Here is a 27581-nt window from a genome sequence, read left to right as displayed (position 1 = left end):
CTGACCAGATGCTATGCTCTTGAACTTCCCAGCCCCCAGACTGTGCCTCAAATAAACTTTTTTTCTTTATAAATTACATAACTTGTGGTATTCTGTTACAGCAGCAAAAAATAGACCAAGATACTCCCCTTTCCTTTTACTTGGGTTGATTTCAGCTCTTATAAATATTCTATAATCTAAACTCTGTCTTAGCATCTGCTGTTCGAGAGAATCCAAACTGTAACACCTCATAATACTAACCAGTAACAAAAATTCAGATGTGACACAAATGATAAGGAGTATTCAAACCCACAGACTTCTCAATAGGTTACCTGTTCTGGCTCACCCTAGTCATATTATTAATATTCCCAAAATAAAAACCTTATATTTTACACCATTAAATACATAACTATGAGCTCTATTTATAGTTTCATGGGAGGTTTTTGTTGTGTTGTGTTGTGTCTTATTTTATAGTATTAATCAATACTTTAATCTTCCTTTTATTTGTCATCAAAAAAAAAATTTTTACCACTCTCTAAACCTTTCCACCAAGAGCTAAGACTAGTTGCACATAGGCCAACTGCCATTGGGGAAGAATCATCTATTTTTCCTTTCTTGCCTTTTCAACTGGCTAACTGGAGCTTCAACTCACTTCCAGAGTTGAAGCATGGGAAGGCCATTCCCAAAGCAAACATTCCACTTTGATCTCACCATTGGAGGGAGTTGAGTCACTTCCCAGATGCTCACTATGATATCAAATATTTACATATCTGGGCAATTCAGTTGAATTTTTTTTTTCTGAAACGGAGTTTCATTCTTGTTGCCCAGGCTGGAGTGCAATGGTACCATTTCAGTTCACTGCAACGTCTGCCTCCCAAGTTCAAGGGATTCTCCTGCCTTACCTCCTGAGTAGCTGGGATTACAGACGCCTGCTACCATGCCTGGCTAATTTTTTTGTATTTTTAGTTGAGGTGGGGTTTTACCATTTTGGTCAGGCTGGTCTCGAACTCCTGACCTCAGGTGATCCACCTGCCTCAGCCTCCCAAATTGCTGAGGTTACAGGCGAGAGCCACTGCGCCCAGCCTATTTCAGCTTTCTTATACTTAGTATTTTTCTGATCTGTAATTTTCAATTTTCTGTGTCTTTATACCCTACAGGAGTCTCTTGTGAAAACCATATAGGTAGATATTTTTAGTTCAGTCTGTCAATGTAGGTGTCAAAATTTGTCAGCTTTCCAGATGGTTCTTATGGCCAGCATACCTGAGTAGTAGTAGGACTCAAAATCTTGCCTGGAATAGTCATAATGCTTTCAGATGTTGCCTATGACAAGTTCAACCTCATCCTTCTGTTCCTTCATGAATTGTAGCCTGCCCAACTAATCACATATGTCCTCAGCCTCTTTAATGCCTTTGCTCAAAATCCAGAGAATGATCTGATTGGTTCATTCATATGGAGGCATGGGAAAATTACATTCTTATGGACAAGAGAATTCCTATTTGATTTAAAGCAAGAAAAGAGAAAAAAAAATGTATATATTAACTGGGGAAAGCTTTTGGAGGCCTGCCAAAGACCTATACAGAGATATTACTCCAAAAACCTGCTCAGGTAAAAAGAGCTAACCTTTGATATGTTTCTCCATTAGGGACTTCCATAAGGAACAGACAGATTTTTGATGTAGCATGATATACAGATACAGTATAAGTAAAATGTTAAAGTGGAAGAAGTGGAGTAGACTATGGGATTGGAAGGTTTTATTTTCTATGTTGGAAAACAAGACAATTATATCAATTAGGATTCTTTTAGCTGCAAATAATAGATCCCCAACTAACACTAGCTTAAGGGATAGACATTTAATTGTTTTATGTAACAAGAAATCTAGAAGTTCAGGTTTGGAGGCTGCAGTTTAAAATGTTGTTGAAACCCCAAGTTTCCATCCTTCTGTTTTACTATCCTCAGAATTTGGCTTTTTGTCTTGGTGCTTGTGCCCCATGATTACAGGATGGCTCCATCAAAGGCAGAGACAGTGGGCTGGTAAGGGAGGCAAGGAATAACTCCTGGCAGGGGTTATTCTCTTGTTATTAGAGATGAAAATATATTTTGAAGAACCCACTTCCCTACCAGCAGACTTCCTAGTAGATCTCATTGGCTAGAACTGGGTCACATGGCCATCCCAAGCTCAAAGCTGGGAAGTATCATGTGGTTGAAATGAAGGGGGCAGCCATGTTGGTAGTAATGCCTTCCCAAACCAAACTGAAATTCTATTAGCAAGGAAATGTCTAATGGGTAGCTGGCCTATAGTGCTTCCAGGACAGCCATTTTATATAGCTGCTCTCTCATATGTAGCCTGTAAACTCCATGGGAGCAGAACATCATCATCTTTAACCACTGCTATGCTTTTCACACCAAAGAGTACCTACCCCATGGTAGATGGTCAGTAAGTATTAGCTGGTTGACTTAATGTACTTTGTAATATTTGTAATACTTAATAACTCGACTTTTCTCTGGTAAGCTGGAGGATGTGGCCATACTACATTATACTTTGCTTGACCTAGAAATTGTATTGAAAATCATATATTTATATGGATCTCATCAGGGATGTGATTTAGAGAGGATAGAAAATGTTAACGTCTAATTGAGAAACTTACATTTTATTTCTGTTTTTAAAAAATCAGTTTTATGAAAGAGAGAAGACAATTTATTTCTAAGTGTTATCCCTAAAAGTCTGTTTAAAGAACATTTATACTGACTGATTTTATGAGTAAAAGATTATAAGTTTTCATTAAAAGAAAGAGGTATTTAAGAGTTTAGTTCAATTTTTTTCGTGATATGATCAATAAGGAGAGGATACTGTGATGATGAATTAACCATATCCATACACAAAAATTCTTTTCTGAGATTCCAAGGAATGTTAAACATTATAGCAAAAGAATTAACTTTTTCAAAGAACAAAACTGTGTTTTTATAAATAGCTTTTTATGGGGAGACACTTTGCCACTCTTTAACATTCACAGCTATGGTATGCATGGCACCTGGGGCTCACCTGATTCAAGAAACTTGCTACTGAATGGAGCACCCAGACAGACCCATAGATATACATAGGCAAGTAAATAATATCGGGACCAATGGATTAATCAGAATCAGGAATGGACTCAGGAAGCCTCTCAGGGATATATAGAAGAAAATGTTTGCCAGCTTTCAGAGCTTGAAACTCAGTAAAGTTAGTTACATTTCCTCTTCAAAGTTCATTCTTCCCTTTCCTGTAGAAAGCCTCATGCAATGAGGCTTTGTCCACTTGCTCCCAAGCAACCATGGAATTCTGGTAGAATCTTTCTATTGTTCCCCAAACCATAGCACTAGAATAGTCCTTGACAGAAATCATTCTCTCTGCTTTATTACTTGGATACAACCTCAGAATTCTTAGAATAGTGATTTAGGCATCAGATATGAATAGAGTTGACACTTAAAATGACATCTAACTTTTTGTAGTAATGGTGGTTTTACAGTCACTTAATGAGAAGTGCATTTTTAGTGATTTTGTTATTGTGTAAACATCATGGAGTGCACTTACACAAACCTAGATGGTATAGCCTATTATACACCTAGGCTATATGGTATAGCCTTTTGTACCAAGGCTACAAACCTGTACAGAATGTTACTGTACCAAATAGTGAGGCAACTGTAACACAATAATTAGTATTTGTGTATCTAAATATAGAAGTGCAGTAAAAACATGGTATAAAATATTAAAAATAGTTTACTTTTATAAGGGACTTACCATGAATGGAGCTAGCCAGACTGGAAGTTGCTCTAGGTGAACTAGTGAGTGAAGGGCGAGTGAATCGTGAAGGCCTAGGACATTACTGTTTACTACTGTAGACTTCATAAGCACTGTACACTTAGGCTACATTATATTTATGGAAAATATTTTCCTTTTTATTTCTCCAATAACAAATTATTCTTAGCTTACTGTAACATTTTTACTTTTTAACTCTTTTGTAATAACACTTAGCTTAAAACACAAACACATTGTACAGCTGTACAAAAACATGTCTTTATATCCTTATTCCTTATTCTATTAGTTATTTTTATTTTTTAAAACTGTTTTTGTTAAAAACTAAGACACAGACACATAGTTTAGCCTAGGCACACAGGGTCAGGATCATCAAGATCACTGTCTTCCACCTCCACATCTTGTCCCAGTGAAAGTCTTCAGGGGCAATAACACACATGGAGCTGTCACCTATGATAACAATGCCTTCTTGTGGCATTGTTACTACCTGCTGAAAGACCTGCCTCAGGCTGTTTACAGTTAACTTTTTTTTAATAAGTAGAAGGAGTACACTCTAAAATAATAATAAATTATATAATAAATACATAAATCACTAATAGTCATTTATTATCATTGTCAAGTATTATGTGCTCTACAAAATTGCTATACATGTATGACTGGCAGCATAGATTTCTTTACACCAGCATCATTGCAAACACATGAGTAATACATTGTGCTATGATGTTATGATTGCTATGATATCACTAGACAATAGGAATTCCTCAGCTCCATTATAACCTTATGGGACCACAGTTGCATGTGGTCCATCATTTACCAAAACATCGTTACATGGTACATGACTATATAGCTTTAGAGAAGAAGTACAGATAGAATTAGTTCTGACAGATGATGCACTCTTTTAATTCATTCACTCATTCATTCATTTGTTCATTTATCTAAAACCAATCTCTCACCAAGTGTGAGGTACTTCAAGAACTAGATATAAGTAAATTAATCATATAAGAAATGAACATAAAATAATTTATATTTTAGACTCAACACCATTGCAACATTTAGTAAGTGTCAAATAAAAAGTCCTATGTATGAATTTTTATTTGATAGTGTCTTGGTTCAGAATGCATAAAGATATGCTGTGCTATGAGTAATCAGTTTCCAGTGAATCCCTTTTGCAAAGAACTTGAAGATGAACAAGGAATCCCGAAGCATTCAAGTATTTTCTCTGGCCCTTTCAAAGCAAAGCAAAGCCAATCACAGCATCATATGCCAGAAACCTAGCCTGTAGAAGACAAGATCTTCTAAGAGTATCTATAGCCTCCTCAAACAACAAACCTAATGGCTCTCAGTTGAGCCTAACTGCATCTGAAGAGGAAGCAGTTGGGACATGACAGCTTCACATCAGTGGTTTGGGGCAGTAGCAGAAATGCTGGAATGGTGTGCTTTGAAGAGGCTTGCCTGTTTTTTTAACTTTATGCCATGCCACGGCCATCGCAATTTTTTTGACAGTTCCAGGGAAAATGCAAACAGAACTGACCTCTCCTCGGCAGCTCTGTAACCGTGGGGCTCATGTGCGCAGATTGGCATCTGCAGGCACATCTTTAGCAAGTTGGCAGCCTTCGTGCCCTTTGCAGGTTGCAATCAAACCTCCTTCTACAGCAGCCTCTTTCTGGTTGATTAACTTTAATGTAATTTTAATTAAAAACCACAGTGTCAAAGGGTTTAGCTACTCGAGAAATGAGCACAGACTGCGGCCCAGTGGCAGCAGTCACTTGGAAAATGGAAATGTGTCCTGACAATGTTGTGCAGGGGCCAGATAAACAGGGTCGCTGCAGCACTTCTCTCACATGCAGGAAACAGGCAAGGGAACATCAGAACCAAGAGACCGGCTTGTACATCAAGGGTTCTAATGTATGAATTTCAGGTGCCATCAACATTTTTGAGACCTTGTTCAGTCCTGGCACCAAATACTCTCTACAATGGCTGGCTGTGACCATTCTGTTCTCCTCTTGGCACTTTGGTCTCTAAATCGACACACAAATCTGGGTTAAATATGAATCAAATTTCAGACAGGAAAAAGGGAGCCAAGGCTTACTGTATTATTCAATTGTAGATCTTCACTTTTTTCACTGCGTATATGTTTTGGGGACAGGGGATTTTAAATATCAGAGATAAGCTTTTCTTTCAAGGAAACACTTCCTTTGGGATATGATTCCTTGACTCCTTTACAAATAGTGCCAAGGAACTATAACTGAATGACTTCTTCCAAAAAGATTACTGCATTACTTGAATTGGAAGAATATGAGGAAATAATTTTGCAAATATGTTTTGTCATGATAGGTTCAGAAAATACATTTTGTTTACTAGGCTTCCTTATGCAATATAAATAATTATTTATATTTTTACTTATAATTTTTAATTATTTATATTGCATAAAGAGGTCTAATAAAAATGTATTTTCTAAATAATTACATTGCATAAGGAGGTCTAGTAAATAAAATGCATTTTTAATAATAGAAATAATCATTTTAAAACTTCTGTTTATCCTGAAGGTATTATCTTTTTTAAATTCCTGCTTTTAAAAAATTGTCAGGTTGATGTTAAATAATGCTCAAAATGAAAGACTGAAATGTGGTCCCGTGTGGAAGAAGTATTTTATTAATGCCAGTGGGATGAACACCTCTATTCCATGCTGAAATGCCCTTTATTCTTTCTCAATGTAGCTAATTTTTCAGGGCACAACTCTCAGGAGAACACCTAGTGACGTCAATTCTTCAGAGGAGAATTTCCTCCACCAGGTTTGTGGGATGCTGAGGCTGCTTTGCTGACAGATGGGGCCGGTACAGGTGGGCCCAGAGCCATGTGAACAGAAGGGGCCCCTGGACCCTGACAGAGAGGATAGACAGAACGGTGGGGGAGAGTTTAGGGCAGTGGACAGGGAGGGGAGAGAGGAGGCATAGAGGATTTCTACACTGAATCCAGCAGAGAGGAAGAAAAGCAAAAACAAGCAGATGGGTGGACAGGGAGAGGTGATTTGAATTGTATAACTTGCTTAAGAGACTAATAAAAAAAAAATCTCTGGGGATAGGAGTTCACCGCAGGCAATTTTGGAAAATTGGAAACTTAATCTAAGATTGCCAAAGTAAAGAAGAGTACAATAAAAATAAATATGAAATAAAAGTATGAAAATGAATTGCATATGAACTTGCAGGATGAATCCTCTGCAGGTTTCTGTACATATCCAGGTAGAAAAGAATCATTCTCTGGCTTTTTCTGGTGTTAAACAGCCATTATTATTGCTCTCATCTCAACTGCTTACTCTATTAAAAGACAAAATAGGATTTTGATTGCCACTTCGGCAAATGACATAACTGATCAAAATGAACTTAGAGAACAACTCAATGCATTTATGCAGATCCTATGATGGCAATTTAAAAAAAGAAAGAAAGAAAATTACCAGAGTAGGATCTGAATAAGTTAAAGCAGAGTATCCAAAAGTACCTTGCCTAGAATATTACTTTTTCAGTATACTTATATGTGTGTTTTGGGAAAATGGTTCTGTGGTGAAATAAATGTTTTGAGACCTGGGTTATAAGTCAAACCTTTTTTAAAATTTAATTTTACCGTAGCACTTTTCAGGGCTTTCATGTGTTCTCTTACATATATAGATTTTTTTTTTCTCTAATTTTGATCATGGAATGCTTTGAAAAGCATTTCTTGAGGATAGTTTACAAAGTATATACCCTAGGAAACACTTTCTCGAACCAGGTAAAAGAGGTTATCTGATTGGGTACATTTACAATGGACGTGAGTCCCCATTTGCATTGCATTTGTTCAGGAATAGGCTGACATTGACCATTCAGGAGAAGTCATCTTACACCTAATACTGTAAATCAAAATGTTTGAAACATTCTATTTACAAGTGGCCAGATCAGTGGTGCCATTTTTATCTATTTTGCAGTAGACATTTTGAATTAAAGAGTTAATATTTGGTTAGAAGTGATAATAAAAATATGTCCTAAGCCTTGTTGCCTAAGCACTGGCTGAGATAGATTCTGGCCATATACACAGCTGTACTTGTGTGTTCTAGCTAAATGCCAAGTCTGCTTCTAAATTTTTCTTGGTTTTCGTTTACAATGAACAACAAACAGAACCTGAGCTCTATGAAAGCAGAGTCAGGTTTGGCTTTGCTCACTATTGTAACCCTAACACTTATCATGTAGTTCAAACTCAACAAATATTATTAGAACTAATGAATTATCCCTCTGGCTAATGTTGCATACTAGTTGTAACACATCAGAAAACATAAGAGCTAGCATCAAACAATACTGGAGATAACTTTACTAAACACCAGCAGCTAAAATGGTCTTTTCTTTTGTAAGTTTATTAAAAGTAATATTGAGCACGAGTTACATGCAAATCACTCTGCTATGAACCCTGGAAGATGAAGAGATGAATGCAAGAAGAGAGTGACTCTTTGGGGAGCATATAATTTGGTGGGGTGTGACTTTAATATGGGAGAATGAAACCAAATTATTGGTGGGGATAGAGGGGATGGAAATTGGACAGTATGGAGTGGGTACAGAATTAGCCATGTTCAGGCTCAAGCTTCCAAGTGGAGAAAAGCTACCACATTTAGATTCATTTCATCCACATGATCAATGTTGGATTTACATTGAATGAGGACTATAGAGCTGGTTAGAGAAAGAAGGGCAGGCATGTTTGATGTGGTAACTTCGTTACTTTATGTGAGCACACAGAGTACAGTTCTTCAGAGATGGCCTCATTGGTTTAAAAGGAACTCAGCATTTCTCCTCCTGGATTGTAACAATAACCTCCAATAAGGGCAGGCATGTTTGATGTGGTAACTTGGTTACTTTATATGAGCACACAGAGTTCAGGTCTTCAGAGATGGCCTCATTGGCTTAAAAGGAACTCAGCATTTCTCCTGTTGGATTATAACAATAACCTCCACATTTGCAGAACACATTTTCACATGCCTTTTAAATCCATTATTGCACTTAATCTTTACAACAGCTCTGGGTGATCATATGTTTACTCTAACTTTACAGACAAGGAAATGGAAGCTCAGAGTAGATAAAGTCTTCATAGTTCTAAAACTCGTTGTTGAGCAACTGGTCTGGCTCTGAGTTCTCTGTCCTGAGTCCTTTTCATCAGTATAATCACCTTGAAGACAGGTGGTTTTATCTTCCCCAGAGTTCCCATTGTAGTGCTGAACAAGTAAAGGTACACAATTAATGCAAATCTAGATGACTCTTGTTTCCTTTGTGCCCAGAGGTCAAGTTTGATCATACTTCATATGGCATAAGCACCTTACATTTTATTCCTCAAGCACCTTTCTACACTTAGAAAGTAGTAATTATATTTGTTTCCATTATTGAACATATCATTTTGTGCCAGGGGCACTGCTATGTAGTTTTGATGTTATTTGCCTATCTCCCACATGAATTCAAAATTTCCTGGAGGTAGATGATAGTATATGTTATTCATCTTTGAATTTTAGGCAATTTGAGACTTCAACTGAAGTAAAAGTTTGGCTCTACCTTCCAAATGCTATAGGCCATTTCCCATATATCTTATAAACCCTGTTCAGGACTATAAAGATATCATTACAAAAACATTAATTTGATCTCAATTCTTGAGAAAAATTTTAGTTTCATAAGCAGTTAAATTTTGTGCTTCTGAAATACCTTGATGCTTGGACTCTGCTGGATTATAAGTTTCATGAGGATAGAGCAATATTTGCCTTTTCTATTCCCTTATCTCTAGCATCTTTTTTTCCCTCAAACATACCAGATACTTAATAATTGTTCAGTGAATGACTAGCATTACTATTTTTCCTCTAAAGGAGAAATCTGATTCTGCTGATGCTTTAGGGAAGAACATATCAATAATTACTAACAGTAAAGATTTTTTTTTCAGATGAATCTGACTGTTAACCTGCTATATGCAAATGTTGAACAAAATACATCCTGGAACTTCCCTGATACCCAATGAATATAGAGTAGAAATGAGAAGCTTAATTCTAGTTGATATTTGCTATCAGCCAATAAAGCAGATAGCCAAACCAGATTTGGGAAGAAAATCATTATTTCTGTAATACTTGTGGTTTAGAATTTTGAAGTCTTGTTATTATGCACTCATCAACTTTATATGTACTGAGGAAGTCTGGATAACAGGGACTAAGCATTAACTACGTGCATTGGGCCAAGGATCCTATGGTGATGATTTTATTTCCATGATTTAATTTAACTGGCATAATATATTAGAATGTGTATTATTAGTCATTTGACTAATATCACTCTGAAAGTAAGGCTTAGAGAGGCAACTAACTGGCCTAAGTTCAATTCACTAAATGGTAGAATCTGCCTGGCTATACCCTTACTGACAAAACAGCTGGGTGTAATACCAAAGGCAGACAACTTAACAGAAAGATCATAAAAGAAACACTCAAAGAGAGTGCTACCAAAATCAGTCATCCCAGGTTGTCTGTGCAGATACTCAAGACTACACCCTTGAGAAATTAGAACAGAGGCTACATTTCAGAGGAAAGAGATCTCACTAAAATAGGTTAGTGAAGTCACAAAAAACAAACTAACAAACAAACAAAAAACAACCAAACTGCAACAAAAACAAACTCTGGTGAGGACAGAAGTGAATTAGTATCCAGAGCTGCTTTAACAAATTTCCAGTTTTCAACAACAATTAACGAAATCACAAGACATGCAAAGAAACGGAAAATTGTGACCCATACATAGGAAAAAAGAGGGCAACAAAAACTAACTGTAAAAGGGCCCAAATGTCAGATTTAACAAAGACTTTAAAAGAGCCATTTTAAATATATTCAAAGAACTAAAAGAAAATATGTCTAAAGAGGTGAAAGAAGATGTGACAACATCTCATTAAATAGAGAACAACAAAAAAAGAGATAAGAAAATTATAAAAAAGAACCAAGTGGTAATTCTGGAGTTGAAAAGCATAATAACCAAAATAAAAAATTCACTAGAGGGTTTCAGCAGCAGGTTTGAACTGACAGACAAAAGGAATCTATTTACTTGAAGATACATTGATAGAGATTATAAAATCTGAAGAATAGAAAGAAAAAAAGAAGAAAAATGAATAAAGCCTCACAGAAATATGTAATACCATTAAGAGCATCAACATATGATAATAGGAGTACCAGAAGAAGAAGAGATAATTTTAAAAAAAAAATTGAAGAAATAATGACTGGAATCTTCCAAATTGGCTGAAAATATTAATCTGCACATCCAAGAAGCTCCATAAACTCCAAGTAAGACAAACACAAATAAATTTACATTAGTATACATCATAGAAAAATGCTGAAAGACAAAGTTCTGAAAGTATCAAAGAGAAAAATGACAACACATATGACAGAATTCCAATAATATAAACAGCTGACTGCTCATAAAAAACAATGAGAGTCAGAAGGCAGTGGGACAATATACAGTTGACCCTTGAACAACACGCAAGTTAGGGGCACCAATCTCCTGTTAAGAGAAAAATCCTCATATAACTTTTGACTTTCCTAAAACTTAACTACTAATAGCCTACTCTTGACCAAAAGCCATACTATTAAAATAAAGTCGGTTAACACATATTTTGTATGTTATATGTATTTTATACTCTCTTTCCACAATAAAGTAAGGTAGAGAAAACATGTTATTAAGAAAATCATAACAAAGAGCTAGGTGTGGTGCCTCACGCCTGTATTCCCAGCACTTTGGGAGACCAAGGTGGGCAGATCATTTGAGGTCAGGAGTTTGAGACCAGCCTGGCCAACATAGTGAAATGCTGTCTGTACTACAAATATAAAAATTAGCCATGCCTAGTGGTGAACGCCTGTAATCCCAGCTACTCAGGAGGCTGAGGCAGGAGAATCACTTGAACCCAGAAGGCAGAGGTTGCAGTGAGCCAAGATTACACCACTGCACTCCAGCCTGGGCAACAGAGCGAGACTCTGTCTTAAAGAAACAAACAAAAAAAGAAAATCATAAGAAAAAGAAAATATATTTACTATTCATTAAGTGGAATTAGGTCATCATAAAAGTCTTCATTCTTATTGTCATCACATTACATAGGCTAGGGGGAAGTAGGAAGAGGTCTTGCTATCTCAGGGTTGGTAGAGGTAGAAGAAAATCCATGTGTAAGTGGACAAATACAGTCAAGCATGTGTTGTTCAGAGGTCAATTGTATCAAAAGTGCTGGAAGGAAAAAAAAAATCTCAACAGTGTGTCAACCAAGAGACTTACATTCAGTAAAACTATCCTTCAAAACCAAAAGTGAAATAAAAACATTATCAGATAGGCAAAAACTGATAGAATTTATTGGTAGCTGATATACTTTACAGAAAATACTATAAGAAGTTTTCAGGCTGAAAGCTATAATTCCAGATGGTCATTTGAATCCATTTTTAAAAAGTACCAATAAAGGCACTATTAAAAGACAGTATAAATGTATATTTTCTTTCTTTCAATGTCTTCAGTGATTTAAAAAGTAGTTTAATAAAACTATATAATTAAACTGTTGAGCCTAAAACATAAAGATATAATATACTTGACAATTAACATTACAAAGTAGGCGAATGATAGTAAAGGTGTATGGAAGTAAGAAAATGACACCAGATGGTAACTTGAATCCACAGGAACAAATTAAAATAACAAGAAACATTTCAAAAGAAGGTTAGTATAACAAACTGTAAACATATATTTGTTCTCCTTTCTTTCCTCAGCTTCTTTAATAGACATAAAGTTATATAAAGTAATAATTATAATAATGTATTGTTTGGTTTGTAATATATATGGATGTAATATATATGTAACAATAGCACAAAAAAAGGGGAAAGGGAATGGAGCTCTATGGGAGTAACATTTCTTTATCTCTCTGGAATCGAGACAATATATATCTTAAGTAGGTTATGGTAAGATGTATATGTTAAGCTCAAGAACAACCCCTAAGAAAATAAGTTAAAAGCTGTAGTTGGAACACCTGGACACAGGAAGGGGAACATCACACACCAGGGCCTGTCATGGGGTTGGGGGAGGGGGGAGGGAAAACATTAGATCTACCTAATATAAATGACGAGTTAATGGGTGCAGCACACCAACATGGCACATGTGTACGTATGTAACAAATCTGCACGTTGTGCACATGTACCCTAGAACTTAAAGTATAATAAAAATAAAATAAATAAATAAATTACAACTCCAAAAAAATTATAGGAATTAAAATGTTACAGTAGAAAATATGCATTCAGTGCAAAACACAATAGTAAAAGAGGAAAGGAGGAAAAAGCCAGAAGACATATAGAAACCAAAAAGCAAAATGGCTGGCATAAATCTAACTATATCAACAAAAACATTAAATGTGAATAGATTAAACAACCCAATCAAAAGGCAGAAATAGACTGGGTATAAAAACATGATCCAATTATAATGTCATCAATAGGAGACAAAATTTAGATACAAAGACACAAATAGTTGAAAGTAAAAGGGTGGAAAAAGATTGATCATGTACACAGCAGCCACATGAAAGCTTGTGTAGTTATAATAATATTTTTAAAAGAGGTTTAAAATGCTACTACAGATAGAGAAGAACATGAGATAATAATTAAAGAGTTAATCCATCAGGAAGATATAATAATAATAATAATAAACATTCATAGACCTAACAGCAAAACCTCAAAATAAACAAAGCAATCTCTGACAGAATTTAAAGTAGAAATGCACAATTCAACAATAATAGTCGAAGACTTCAACACTCCACTTTCAATAATGGATAAAACAACTAAGCAGAAGATCAATAAGGAAATAGAAGATCTGAAAAACACTACGAATAAACTACAATCTATGTCTATCGAACACTCTACTTAACAGGATTAGAACACACATTCTTCTCAAGTGCACATGGAAAATTCTCCAGGATAGACTCTATGCTAGGCCATAATGCAAATCTCAATACTTTTAAAAGAATTGGAATCATACAAAAGATGTTCTTCGATAACAGTGGCATGAAAGTAGATATTAATAATGGAAAGACAATAGGGAAAATCACAAATATGTGAAAATTAAGCAACACTCTCCTAAATAACCAATAGGTCTAAAAAGAAATCTTAAGAAGTTAGAAAATTCTTTGAGGTTTAGAAAATAAATACAAAACACATAAAACTTATGGGATGCAGCTAAAACAATGCCAAGAGAAAATTTTATAGCACTAAATGTTTAGATTAGGAAAGAAAAAAAGTCTCAAATCAATAACAAAGTTCCACCTCAAAAAGCTGAAAAAAAGAGAACAAATTAAATCCAAATCTAGCAGAAGAAAAGCAATAATAAAAATTAGAATGAAATTAATAAAATGGGAAATAGAAAAGCAACAGAGAAAAATCAGGAATAATAAAGATTAGAATAAAATTAATAAGATGGGAAATAAAAAAAGGAGAAAAATCAACAAAACCAAACTTGGTTATTTCAGGAGACCAATGAAATTGACAAACTATTGGCTAGACTGACAAAAGGGAAAAAATAGAATACTCAAGTTGCTAAAATCAGGAATAAAGAAGGGAATATTGCTATTAATTTTACAGAAATAAAAAAATGGATTAAAAAGAACAGTATGAGGAAATGTATACCAACAAATTAGATAATCTAGATGAAATGAATAAGTTCCTAGAAAGACAAACTACATAAACTTTTTCAAGAATAAACAGAAGATCTGAGTATATTTATAAAAAAATAGAGATATGATTAGTCAACAAAACACTTTCTGCAAAGAAAAGCCATGGCTCATATCAGTTTACTAGTGAATTCTACCAAATGTTTACAGAAAAATTAATAATAATCTTTCAAAAAATAGAAAAGAAATCAGGCATGGTAGCTCATGCCTGTAATCCCAGCACTTTGCAAAGCTGAGGTGAGTGAACCACTTGAGCCTAGGAGTTCAAGACCAGCTTGGGCAACATGGTGAAACTCCATCTCTACAAAAAATACAAAAAATTAGCTGGGCATGGTGGCATGTGCCTTTAGTTCCAGCTACTTGGGAGGCTGAAGTGGGAGAATCACCTGAGCCCAGGAGGTTGAGGCTGTAGTGAGCCATAATGGTGCTACTGCTCTTCAGCCTGGGTGACAGAGTGAGACCCTGTCTCAAAAAAAAAAAAAAAAGAAGAAGAAAAAAGAAAAGAAAATAAAGTATACTTCACAATCCATTCTGTGAGGTTAATATTACTCTGATTTAAAACAAAACAAAACAGGTTAAGAAAATGTGGCACATATACACCATGGAATACTATGCAGCCATAAAAAAGGATGAGTTCATGTCCTTTGTAGTGACATGGATGAAACTGGAAACCATCATTCTGAGCAAACTATTGCAAGGACAGAAAACCAAACACCACATGTTCTCACTCATAGGTGGGAATTGAACAATGAGAACACTTGGACACAGGGCAGGGAACTTCACACACCAGGGCCTGTCATGGGGTGAGGGGGGTGGGGGAAGGATAGCATTAGGAGAAATACCTAATGTAAATGATGAGTTAATGGGTGCAGCAAACCAACATGGCACATGTATACGTGTGTAACAAACCTGCACATTGTGCACATGTACCCCAGAACTTAAAGTATTAAAAAAAAAACAACATGTTAAGACATCACAAGAAAATAAAATTACAGACCAACATCTCTTATAAACATACATGGCAAAAATCCTCAACACAATACTAGCAAACCTAATCCTGCAACATATAAAAACATTACATACCATGACTAAGTGAGATTTATCCCAACAATGTAAGTTTGAATTAGCATCTGATAATCAATAATGTAATAAACATATTAATACAATAAAGTACTAAAACCACATAATCATCAGATTACAGCAAAAGTATTTGACAAAACTTGTACCACTTCATGATAAAAATACAACAAACTAAGAGTAGAAAGAAACTTTCTGAATCTAATAATTTAGATCTACAAAAATTCACAATAATATCATACTTGACAGCAAGAAACTGAATGGCTTTCTGCTAAAATCAGGAGCAAGACAACAGTATGTGCTGTCATCCCTTCTATTAAAATTTTACTGGAGTTTCTGAAACCACCTTTGCAAAATTTGTAATAGTGAGAAAATTATGTCATGAAAGAGATCTGATCTAACCAAGTCTCCGGCCTTTAACCTCCAAACTGTTTTCAGGCTTTTCTGGGCTTGGGCCAAGCTAACTTTGGGAGAAATTTAGTTTATAGTTTAAATAATAATGGCCCTTCCCCCAAACTAAACCACCTTTGTAAAGCTAATAAAAGACCATCAGGTTAGAAGTATGACAGTAGCCGGAATTCTGCTAAGGTGTAGATATAAAAAATTAGCAGCCTTTATTCCAGAGGTCACAAGATTTGCAACTTCCCCAATTATCCCTGCAGATAACATCGCTATTGCAGAACCTAAGATTAGCCTTTTGAGATGTCATTTCCAGTTTTTGCATTTATGACCACCAGTAGCTCCACTTGAGCCAGCCCTGTGGTCCCACCCAGAAGTGGACTCAGCACATGAGAACTATTTTCCATATCCTTATGATTGCACCCCCAGCCAATCAGCAGCACCTATTCACTTGCCCACCAAACTAGCCATTTCAGAAAGGTTGATTTTCAATTTTCAGAAAGGTTGATCTGAATAATAATAAAACTCTAGTCTCCTGTTCAGCCAGCACTGTTTGAATTAAACTCTTTCTCTATTGCAATTCCCCTGCCTTGGTAAGTAGGCTCCATCTGGGCAGTAGGCAAAAATGAACTCATTGTGTTATTGGAAAGGGGACCAGATCCAGACCCCAAGAGAGGGTTCTTGGATCTCGCACAAGAAAGAATTCAGGTTGAGTTTGTAAAGTGAAAGCAAGTTTATTAAGAAAATAAAGGAATAAAAGAATGTCTACTCCATAGACAGAGCAGCACCAAGGGTTGCTGGTGGCCCATTTTTATGGTTATTTCTTGATTATGTGCTTTAAAGGGGGTGGATTATTCATGTCTTTCCTTTTTAGACCATATAGGGTAACTTCCTGACATTGCCATGGCATTTGTAAACTGTCATGGTGCTGGTGGGAGTGTAGCAGTGAGGATGACCAGAGGTCACTCTCATCACCATCTTGGTTTTGATGGGTCTTAGCTGGCTTCTTTACTGCAACCTGTTTTATCAGCAAGGTCTTTATGACCCATATCTTGTGCCAACCTCCTATCTCATCCTGTGACTTAGAATGCCTGTCTAGGGATTCAGCCCAGTAGATCTCAGCCTCATTTCACTCAGACCATATTCAAGATGGAGTTGCTCTGGTTCAAACGCCTCTGACCATTGGGCAGTTACATTTCTAGTCAGGGAAATTAGGAAGGAAAATGAAATAAAAGGCATCTAGAAAGAAATTAGTGAAACTATAATTGCAGATGACATAATCTTGAATATGAAAAATCCTAAGGATTTCACTAAAACTATTATAATGAATAAAGTTCAGCAAAATTGAAAGACACAAGATCAACATACAAAATTAATTGTACTTCTATATACGTGGCATGAACAATCAGAAAATAAAATTAAGAAAACATTTTGAAAGAAACTTAAGAAGGCCTAAATAAATGGAAAGACATCTTGTGTTCAAGGATTGAAAGACTTAATATTATTACTATTGCAATACTCCCCAAAGTGACCTACAGATTCAACACCATTTCCATAAAAATCCTAACTAATTTTGCCAAAATTGACGAGGTGACCCCAAAATTCACATAAAAATGTAAATCATCCAGAATACTCCTCCTCCTCTCAAAAAAAAATATTTAAAAAGGTAAAACAAAGTTTTTGTCACAAATGGTGCTGGGGCAACTGTATATCCATGGGAAAAGAATGAAATTGAGTCCCTACCTCACACCACATACAAAAGTTAACTCAAAGTGGATCAAAGACTTTACCTCTGTGATCTTTCTCCCAAAAATTCATATCCCAGTCTAATCATGAGAAAATACCAAATTCTAATATAGAGGCATTCCTACAATGTACCTGACCAGTGCTCTTCAACACTGTCAGGTCATCAAAAACAGGGAAAGCCTGAGGAACTGTCATAGCTAAGAGGAGCCTAAGGTGCATGACAACTAAATGTCATCTGGTATCCTGGATGGGAACTTGGGACAGAAAAAGGACATTAGGTAAAAACTAAGAAAATCTGAGCAAGCTATGACATTTAATTAATTGTAATTTATCAATACTTGTGGACTGTGGACTTGTGGCTTCTCCATGCAATGTAGTTGGATTTCTTATGTGGCGATTGAGAATTTCAATAGTCAAAGGCAGAAGATTCCAGTCCTCTTAATGGCTAGGTCTGAATTAGGTACAGTGACACTTTGGTTGTAATCCATTTGTCAAAGCAGTCAGTGATTCAAGGAGAGAGGAATGGACCTTCTTCTCTACCTAGCTATTTTTAACCTGCTGTAGCTCTCATCTCCTGCTGGACATAATATCACAGACTCTTACAATTACAGCCCATCAACCATCCTCCTATGAAGTTCTCTTTCTATTAAAGATAAAAATTAATCTCGATTATTTTCCTCCCACACTTGACATTATCTATTATCTGACTTCTATCTGTGCAATACACATGGGCTTTGTAACATAACTTTTCACAATCTAGCACCACTTTGTATTCTAAACCTCACTTCCAGTACTCCTCTGTAAGAAGCTATACCAGTCTCAGAACATACCTTATCATTTCAGGACTCCAGGCCATGCACATGTTTTTTCCTCTGCTAGAAACAATACATTCTCTTTGCCCAACCCCCACCCCACCTCCCCTTTCTCTCTCTCTCTTTCTTTCTGTGCCTTCTTGACTTCCCTAGGCAGAGGTGGTCTGTCTTAGTGTGGGCTGCAATAATAAATTACCATAGACTGGATGGCTTAAATGACAAACATTTATTTCTCACAGTTTTGGAGGTGAGAAAGTCCCAAGATAAAAGTTCCGGCAGATTTGGTGTCTGATGAGGACCCACTTCCTGGTTTGTAGATGGCCACCTTCTTGTTGTAGCCTCACATGGCACAGAGCAGAAAGAAAGAGCTCATGTCTCTTATTTTCGTAAGGGCACTAATCCCATTCATGAGGGTTCCACTCTCATGACCTAATTACTTCCCAAAGGCCCCACCTTCAAGTATCATCAAATTGGGGATAAGTTTCAACATATGAATTTTGGAGTAGACACATTCAGTCCACAGCAGAGTCTCTTTAGCAATCTGAGTGTCCACAGAATTCTGCTCATTTCTTATAGCTTTTGTCATATTGTGTGGTGTTTTATCTGTTCTCTCTCTCTCTCTTTCTCCTCCTCTCTCTCTGGACTATACAACCTTCAAGGGCTGAGAAAAATTCTAATTCATTTTTCTATTCCTAGTGTTTTAGCACAGTAACTAGCATATAGATCATAATTACATCTATTAAATGAACAAATTACAGGAAAAAAAACCCGGATGGAATATGGTAGCAAAAAAGCTGGGTACTCCCAATAACTTGACATTTTTTATTCTTTTCCTGCAGGTATCAATGGTGAGCAGAAGAGGAGCAGGGAATGATGAAAGACCACACATTCTCCAAAAGTCACTAAGCACTGTCTGCAGATGGAACATTCATATTTTCACATAGTATAAGTCATATGATCTTTGATCCTCCATGTATTGCTATCCAGCCATTTACTTTAGAATGTCAGCCTTTATACTGATATCACACACATGTTGTAAAATGTAGTGAAGATAAACGGGTGAAGTTAAACTTACAATGCTTTTGCTGTTATCCATAAAAATGCAATAGGTATTGCATAGAATTAGTTACAAGCACAAAACTGTGATACCCTATATGCCCCTGTTACAAGAAAGTTGTCATTTTACATTATGGGTATTTATTCGATATTTTCATAGTTTAATTACTAACAAAGCATTAATAATGCCAGATTGTGCTGACAAACATTGCAGTCTCTGAATAGGAGAAAGAATATATTCTTTGCACCATTATACAATGATTTAGAACTTTAATAGTGTGCTGGGGAAAAAACATGTATCTGTAACCTGAAATAGTTGTTTTACCTCCCTGAGTACAAAATATGTCACACATTCTCTCCTAAATGTATTCTCTATTTTTACCAGTCATTTTGTTGCTAAAATGTAAGATATGGGGATGGGATGTGGGTGATTGTCTCCGTCCTTTTGGGCTTCTATAACTAAAATACCTTAGACTGGGTAATTTATAAACAACAGGAATTTATTTCTCACAGTTCTGGGGGCTGGAAAGTCCAAGATCAAGGCTGTGGTGGGGTTTGGCTGGCGAGGGCTCCATCCTTCTTGCTATATCTTCACATGGTGGAAGGAGCAAACAAACTCCCCCAGCCCTCTTTTACAAGGGCACTAATATTATTTGTGAGGGCTCCACTCTCATGACTTAATCACCTCCCCAAAGACCCTACTTCTTAATACTAACACATTGGGGATTAATCTTCAACATATGAATTTTGGAGGAACACAAACATTCAGACCATAGCAATGTTTATTGGGGTGAATGCTCATTTAACTTTTCCCAGAACAATCCCTGTTAAGTCTGCTAACCTCCTGTAGTTAATGATAAAATTTCCTTCATTTTCCGAAGTGTTCTTGTTTGGATTATAAATTATGTAATTACCCTAATGACAATTAACTAGACATTTTTTTTCTTACTGTATAGCACCAGTATGGGCAATTGCAGTGGCTTTCAAACTTGACTACAACTCAGGGAGAAATACATTTTTCATCATAACGTAGTACACACACACACACACACACACACACACACACACGCACACACACACACACATACACTAGATAAAGCAAAAGCTTTAGGAAATGGTACTTGGATATTTTCAAATATATTTTAGTCTGTTTTTTAATTAAAAATCTCTAGTCATGATACATTAAATTGACTTATTGACCCACAGCTTGAAAAAACACCAATATTTTGGATGTGTTTTAAGGTCATAGAACACGCCTTCTGATTTTTTTCCTTCCCTAGGTAATCCTATGCAAGTTGCCAATCTTCTCTAAACAACACTCTTCTTCATCTATAAAGTAAATATTAATACCTACCTGAAGGTGGCAGAGAGAGTTAACTGAGATAATTTGGTTAATGAGCCTGAAATCTAGTCAACACTTACTAAAGGTAATTTCTTCTCCTCTCTTCCGCTTCTAAACCAACAGGACACAGCTGAAGTTCACAGGTTTGTAAAAGTGAAAAAATATTTTTCTTAACCCCCTGACCTCTAAAGTTTGGTCAGAGTGTTTAGCCACTGATAAAACATCTTTAAGCACTGTTACTTCTATGTTCAACTAAAAGAGTCACTTTTCAGTAATTTCCGGTCAAGCCCATCACAATAGCACTTGCAGCTTCTCAAAAGAAAAGAAAGAAAGAGAGAGAAAGAAAGGAAGAAAGAGAATTGAAGGAGGAAAGAAGGAAAAAAATCATGATGAAGATTTTAAAACATGTCTTATTGAGGGATGGGATGGTGAGGAAGTTGATTATAGTGATGGATGTGACAGACAGGGCCCGTACTTCTGTTTCTGTTCTCAAACTAACAGTTTTCACACATAACCGTTTTCACACATAACACATTAGTAGAATTTCTTTTGAATATTTGCCTTGGAAATAAAACAATAATAATATAGCATTTATTATATTTATTATATATAGAGTGTGTGTGTGTGTGTGTCTGTGTGTGTGTGTATCCCACATGTCCACATGAGAAATAATGAAAGAAGATGGAGCCCAAGTAAGAGAGTCCTGATGCCCCATAATGCAGAGAGACAAAGAAGTGATGAAATCAAGTACTCTACCTCTGGGCCGCCAGAATCCAGGCCTGGTTCCAGAGTCCTCTGGTTTTCACCGTGTTGGGGTGGGGCCTCCCCGGGTGCACAGCTTTTCTGCACTGGTTGGCATCTACTGAACCTTAGGTGATCACAGCAGTGGTAAAGACAAGCCAGCTTCCGTCTTTCCATAGTTTGTTCCCCTGTACTTCAGGAGGGAGGGGAGCCCCTCTATGGAATGCAATACACACTAGGCATCCTATCACTATGTAAGAACTCATCTTGCTCCCTCATTTCACATTACATCTTTGACTGTCTTGCTCAGTTGTTTCACCTTGGCTAGTTTTTACTCTTTGGCGAGTACTCTCACAACTCTCTTGTAGGCAGGAGCCCATTTTCTTTTTCTGAGTACTCTGGACTCCTTGCATGGTGCTTCCTGGGCAAGGGGTGCTCAACAAATTGTGCTGATAATTAAGTCATTCACTCAAAATATATTTATTAAGCACCTAGTGACCAAGACAGAAAAAAGTTACTATTGACCTTCAAATCACCAAATCTAATGATCATTCCTTACTGCTCATCTTCCTCCACCATTGCTACCTTAGAGGCCTCCCGTGCCTGCCTCCATTTCCCAGACTTACTGCTTGATTCTCCCTGGCAAGCTTTCCCTTCACCATTTTTTTTTCAGCACTTGTAAGGAACTGAATCTGTCCCCAATAGTACACAGTTTGAGTTAGAGCCAGGACTAGAACTCAGGCCTGCATATAATCAAAGATCAGAAAACGGCCAAATCTTGGTGTTTCTATTCACAGGGAGGAAACCCAGATGGGCCTACTCACAATACATGCTTCCAAATGAAAGAACGTTTTTCCCCCTAAGGACATTGTTAGGACACTGTCTAGCTAGAAGATATTCAGAGAAAATTCACTCCTTTACCTGCCCTAGGGAAATGGGAAAATTCAATGTTTGAGCCATTTACCCAAAAGAGTAATCCATGCTGGAAATTTTGCTGAAAGTATTCTTTTAAAAGGCCCTTCTGTCTTTATTATGACGATAAGACTGCTGAGTCTGCCCAAGCATATGAGGTTGCAAAGAATATTTCTTTTTATTCAGACCTTGTATTCTCTACATGATGAAAGGATTCTTGGCACATAGTTGGCAATTACTATCTAGGTTTTCTGCATAACATAGGTTTTTTAAACTAAGCTTTTAACTCAATAGACATCAGGCTCCAATGAAAATACATGTGGCCTAACACGAGCAGAAATAAACACAATTCTAATCAACTTAACTGTTGACAAAAGCATGTGGTTTCATTGCTTGCGGCCAAAGTTGTAAGAGTGGACTCTGATTTCTTGCAGGAACACCCCTCATTTATGTGTGCAAATAGGGTAATTAAGTGTCCAATTACCAGATTTGCATTGGCAAATGGGGGCTTTGTGTGGGTAAAATTCTCCATGGTTTGGGACCAGCTGAAACTTAGGTCTTTTCTTTTTGGATCAATCCCCCAACAATAACACGGGCATGATGAAGTTCCCTTCTTGTCCTGATCTGAAGCCATGGCTGAAGACTTCCCTTATTTTGGTAATTCAGTGAAGCGGAGAGCCAAAGTTAGGATCTGGGGCCTTTTCTTCCTTACTGTCTACTCTGAAAAATAATTAAGCATTTCAAGTATTTTCAGACTGACTTTTTTTTTTTCCTGCTGGCTCTGTAGAATTGATTACTAAGGTGAAATACTTGTAAATATTCCTTTTAAAAATTTAACCATATGGAAGCATTAAGTTGAAAGACACTTCATAAAACAACTTTATTCTTTTCTCCCCCAGCTCTCGGGTGAAATCTAAGATGGGTCCAATGACTTTCTCAAGTTTCAGATAAAAAGTTTCTGGATACTTTTAGTCATGAAGCCAATCTTCTTACAGTAATGAAGACATCCTTTCTGGGATATCCCGTCCTTTCTGGGATGTCTAGTCAAGGTGGAGTAAACATATTCCACTCTGTCTCTCTCTATGAAGGAAGTTAAAACCCTGGATGGAATGTATGTAGCATTTCTCTGAGGAGCCTGTAAAGTAAGTAGCAGCAGGTAGATTAACGAAAGAAACCAGAACCTGAAGTACTACTGAACCACTTTTCCCCTCTGGCATCTCCTGCTGCAGGACCGAGACAGCTGGAAAACAGGAACTATACATCAGGTACAGACAAAATGAACTCCAAGAAAACCCACTTAATTTTAGTCTAAAGAAGGAGAAAGGGGGCCTCATGGGATCAAAGAGAATTTATGTTTTCTACTGTTCTATCTCCCAGGAAATTCTATGGCAGTGGTGGTGACAATTGCAGTGGTGGCTGGTCAGGTATCCAAAACTCCAAGAAAGGAGAGTCCTTATGTATGACCAGAGAAACTGAAAGAAGTTCCTGCTGCTTTTTTCCCCTCTCTCTATCCTCTTGCCGCTCGGCGTTGGAGGCAGAAAGAGCTGGCCCCTTACTCTGGCCCATGATAGCCTTCAGTTTGCTGAGGGCTTGTATGTTTTTGCTCACTTGTTTTTCTACAATATTCTTCGGCTACAACGACCACCACATAAACTCTTGTTCACATATTTTATGTCCAGGACAAAGCTCCTATCCTTGATCAAACCTCTTCTTTCCGGAAATGGCTCTACCTACCTCTGTTATAATCATCTCGTCATTATCGCTTTTGCTCATAGGCTGTCACCTTCATTTGTGGATTCATTCCCACCCTTCAGTGGCTGTTTCAGTGCTTTCAACAAATATCTGAAGGAATGATCAAGTCTGTTTTCCTAGAAATAAAATATTCCAAGAAATATTTAAGGATACATTAAGATTTCAATAAAGCCTCAAAAGCACTTAAACAAAAATGAAATTATTTGAATATTTTATTATAGATACGACTGCAATACAATTTATTGCCCAAACTGGGAAATGTTTGAGAGTGAAAGGGGGAAAAGGCACTAAAATAATGAAGACATAGTATTTGATCTACAACAGGTATTAACTGGAACACATTACGGTCCTCATTGTAAACTTAATGGCAAATACCACCTTGTCTCTTGCTAGTTTCTTCACAGTTTCTTCTTCACCTACAGACCTGGATGTATACATATGTGCACAACCCCCTCTAGAAATGCACGTTTTAACTTCATGTCATATCCCAGACTAAGCCAACTAAGGAGAATAAAGATGTAGAAATTTTAATATTGCTTATAAAATTATATTTATGCAGCTTCCACCTTTCTTTCTAACTTTGTCTCTTACCTACTCTCCAAATACAATTTCTCCCAAACAGAAGAGATGAACAATTCCCTGGCACTTTGCAGTATACTGTAGCTTTTAATTGAGAAATGGAGCATTGTGGTTGAACATTCTTTTAGAATCATTCTCATAGGTTAAGATCTAGGTTTTGCTATTTACAATCCATGTAACTCCAGTTCTCTTATACTAAGTTTCCTCATCTATAAAGTGAAAACCAAAGGTAAACTCTCCAAGGGATATTGTGAGAATTTAATAAAATAATTGGCATAGAAATGTGAGATGTCCCAGGCAAAGTCATGTGTGTATTCACCCCAGTTCCCATTTTGTAAATGGCCATCTACATTACCAATTTCCACAAAATGGTATGAGAGGGAAACTGTTACATATTTAACATGAAGCCAGAAATTGTAAGGGAGGTTTAAATCTAAGAAACTTCCTTAGAGATTCTTCATCGCCTCTAAAGCAACATCCAATTCTCAGGCCGAAATATGTAACTACTGCTTGTCCGTTACCAAATTAATAGATGCTTCTTTCTAGCTCATTAGCACGTGTTGTTTAAACACCTTCTGCTCTGGAGGAGAAATACTTCTAGAATGAGGAAGAAAGAAGGAGATGGTAAAGAGCTTAATAGGTGGGTCTTAAACCGAACCCCACAAGAAAACCACTACCACCATCACAACAACAAACCAGACACCAGCTTGCTGAACCCCTGAGTGAAACTAAATTTCTTTTTCAAATCCAGAATATTTAACCAGGAGTGTGCTCTGATAATCAATTCTGATCAAACAAAAATTTATGTCTTCTGAAATTATCAAACCAGATTAAACTTGGAGGACCATCTGTTAAGACCAAGCTAATATTTTAACATCTTATTTGCTAGAGAAATCCATTTTCTTGTGTGTGCATTTGGTGTCATGAGTGGTGAAGGCCATTGAGTTAGACATTGTTAAGAGACCCACAATAGCATACTAGGTTTGGCTGAGTATCCTCCTGGCTAATTACTATGTCCTCTGAGGGAAGGAATCTCCAAATTACCAGGGAACCTGAAGCTCTTTACCTATCCACTTAGGATTCAACAGTTTCAACCCTGAAATGGTCTTTGATCAATGCACAAATCAAAAGACTAAGAGCTTTTACAGTATAACAGACATTATTTTGACTATAGGTGTTTCCATCAGCTCCTGGCTGACTTTCTCGTTGCCCTACTTCCGCTGGAAAACTAAGGTGGGTTATGTTTCCAGTTCACTTACTGAAGTCATCACTTGATTCTCTCCATAGTGGAGAAGAAGTCATCCTACAGTCTTTTGTTGCTACGATCTTTACAGAAAATTGTGAATAATATGACTATTTGAGTAATATCATGTCCTGGTTAATTATATATTTCTTAAGGTTACAAGTTAACAGAGCATTTTCTCACTCTCCACCCCCACATTAGCTCTGAAAGATTTGGTAAGGATTTATAGTTTCCTTTTCTCTGTGAAAATAGTATCTAAGTATGTGTGTTTGCATTGTTTGGCAGTTGTTTATACTCTAGTTTCTACCAAAACTAATTTATTTTGCCTTTGTAAGTATAATTTACTCCACATTTACCTCTTAACATAATCCAGCTGTAGGGGTTGAAAAACTATATCCTGTGGGCCAAATCCACCTGTTCTCATAATGTTTTTTAGGACACAAGTACAAGAATTTGCTTACTTATTGTCTACGGCTGTTTTCAATATCAGAGTAGATAGGTGTGACAGAGGCTGCATGGCTGGTGAAACAAAGAAAAAAAAATTACTACCTGGTCCTTTACAGAAAACATTTGCCAACCCCTTGTCTAGTGTAATCATTCCAAACACAGAAACTCACTGCACAGATTTATAGAAAGTAAAGTGCAGTGTACTCTGTTGAATATATTCTAAATCTATGACATATCTTAGAAGACATTAGTTTTAAGAAAATTATTATTGACAGCTGTTTTTTCATTCCTGAGGAATTCTCATTAATTAAAAAGTTCTTATGTAAAATGCAGCAAACTCCCAGTAATGCATGCTTCATAATTACAAAAATTCAAATGTTCTTATGTAAAAATCCTGCCTTCTAGTTTCATCAAAACTTAAGGATATTAAATGAGATTTAGAGTCACTGAATATATGCTCTGTATTTATTAATATATTATATATTTGGATGGGGGGGAGAAGAAGTAATGTGTTCCTGCATTTCAAAGAGCTTCTAATATTTATGAAGAGATATAATCCTAACAATGTCTTCCATAATTGAAATGTACAAAAAAATGAATAGCACAGAGAAGGCAGAATTCTGAGCTTTCACTTATTATCAGTAATTTATCATTAATTACAAACATTGGTTAAGCATTGATGCTGGCCCAAGCCCTTTGGTTTGCCTGAAATCTGATATTATACAAAGTAAGTCACGGTTTGTATTCTCAGTAAGCTTATAGCTAAAGACATAATTACTAGAAGAGAATAAAGTTAGTCTTTAGAGGAGCCATTAGCTGTCTATGGCCATACCACCCTGAATGCACCTGATCTTGTCTAAGAGTTATCTTTCAATAGCAGTGTTAAAGCATTTCTCTTGCACATCAAAGACCTGTTTTAAAAGTGGTGAAAGGGCTCAATTTGAAGGGAAAAGAGAGGGCATAATTTTATCTTTGATTTTAGACCATTGGCTGTCAAAATTT

At 36.5% G+C, this 27581-nt stretch overlaps 1 long non-coding RNA gene across 1 annotated transcript in view; it reads left to right on the top strand.

Moving 5' to 3' along the window:
- The window catches only part of LOC105377008 (uncharacterized), a 47784-nt gene extending 26292 nt beyond the window's left edge, over window positions 1-21492 (top strand). Inside the window, exon 3 of the long non-coding RNA XR_940674.3 lies at window positions 19347-21492. This is a non-coding gene — a long non-coding RNA (uncharacterized LOC105377008). The remainder of the gene's footprint in view (window positions 1-19346) is intronic.
- The last annotated feature ends 6089 nt before the right edge of the window (window positions 21493-27581 follow it).

This window comes from Homo sapiens, chromosome 3 (genome assembly GCF_000001405.40).
Source record: "Homo sapiens chromosome 3, GRCh38.p14 Primary Assembly".
Taxonomy (NCBI): Eukaryota; Metazoa; Chordata; class Mammalia; order Primates; family Hominidae; genus Homo; species Homo sapiens.
Note: the sequence above shows the minus strand (reverse complement) of the source record. Positions and strands in the feature narration are given on the sequence as shown.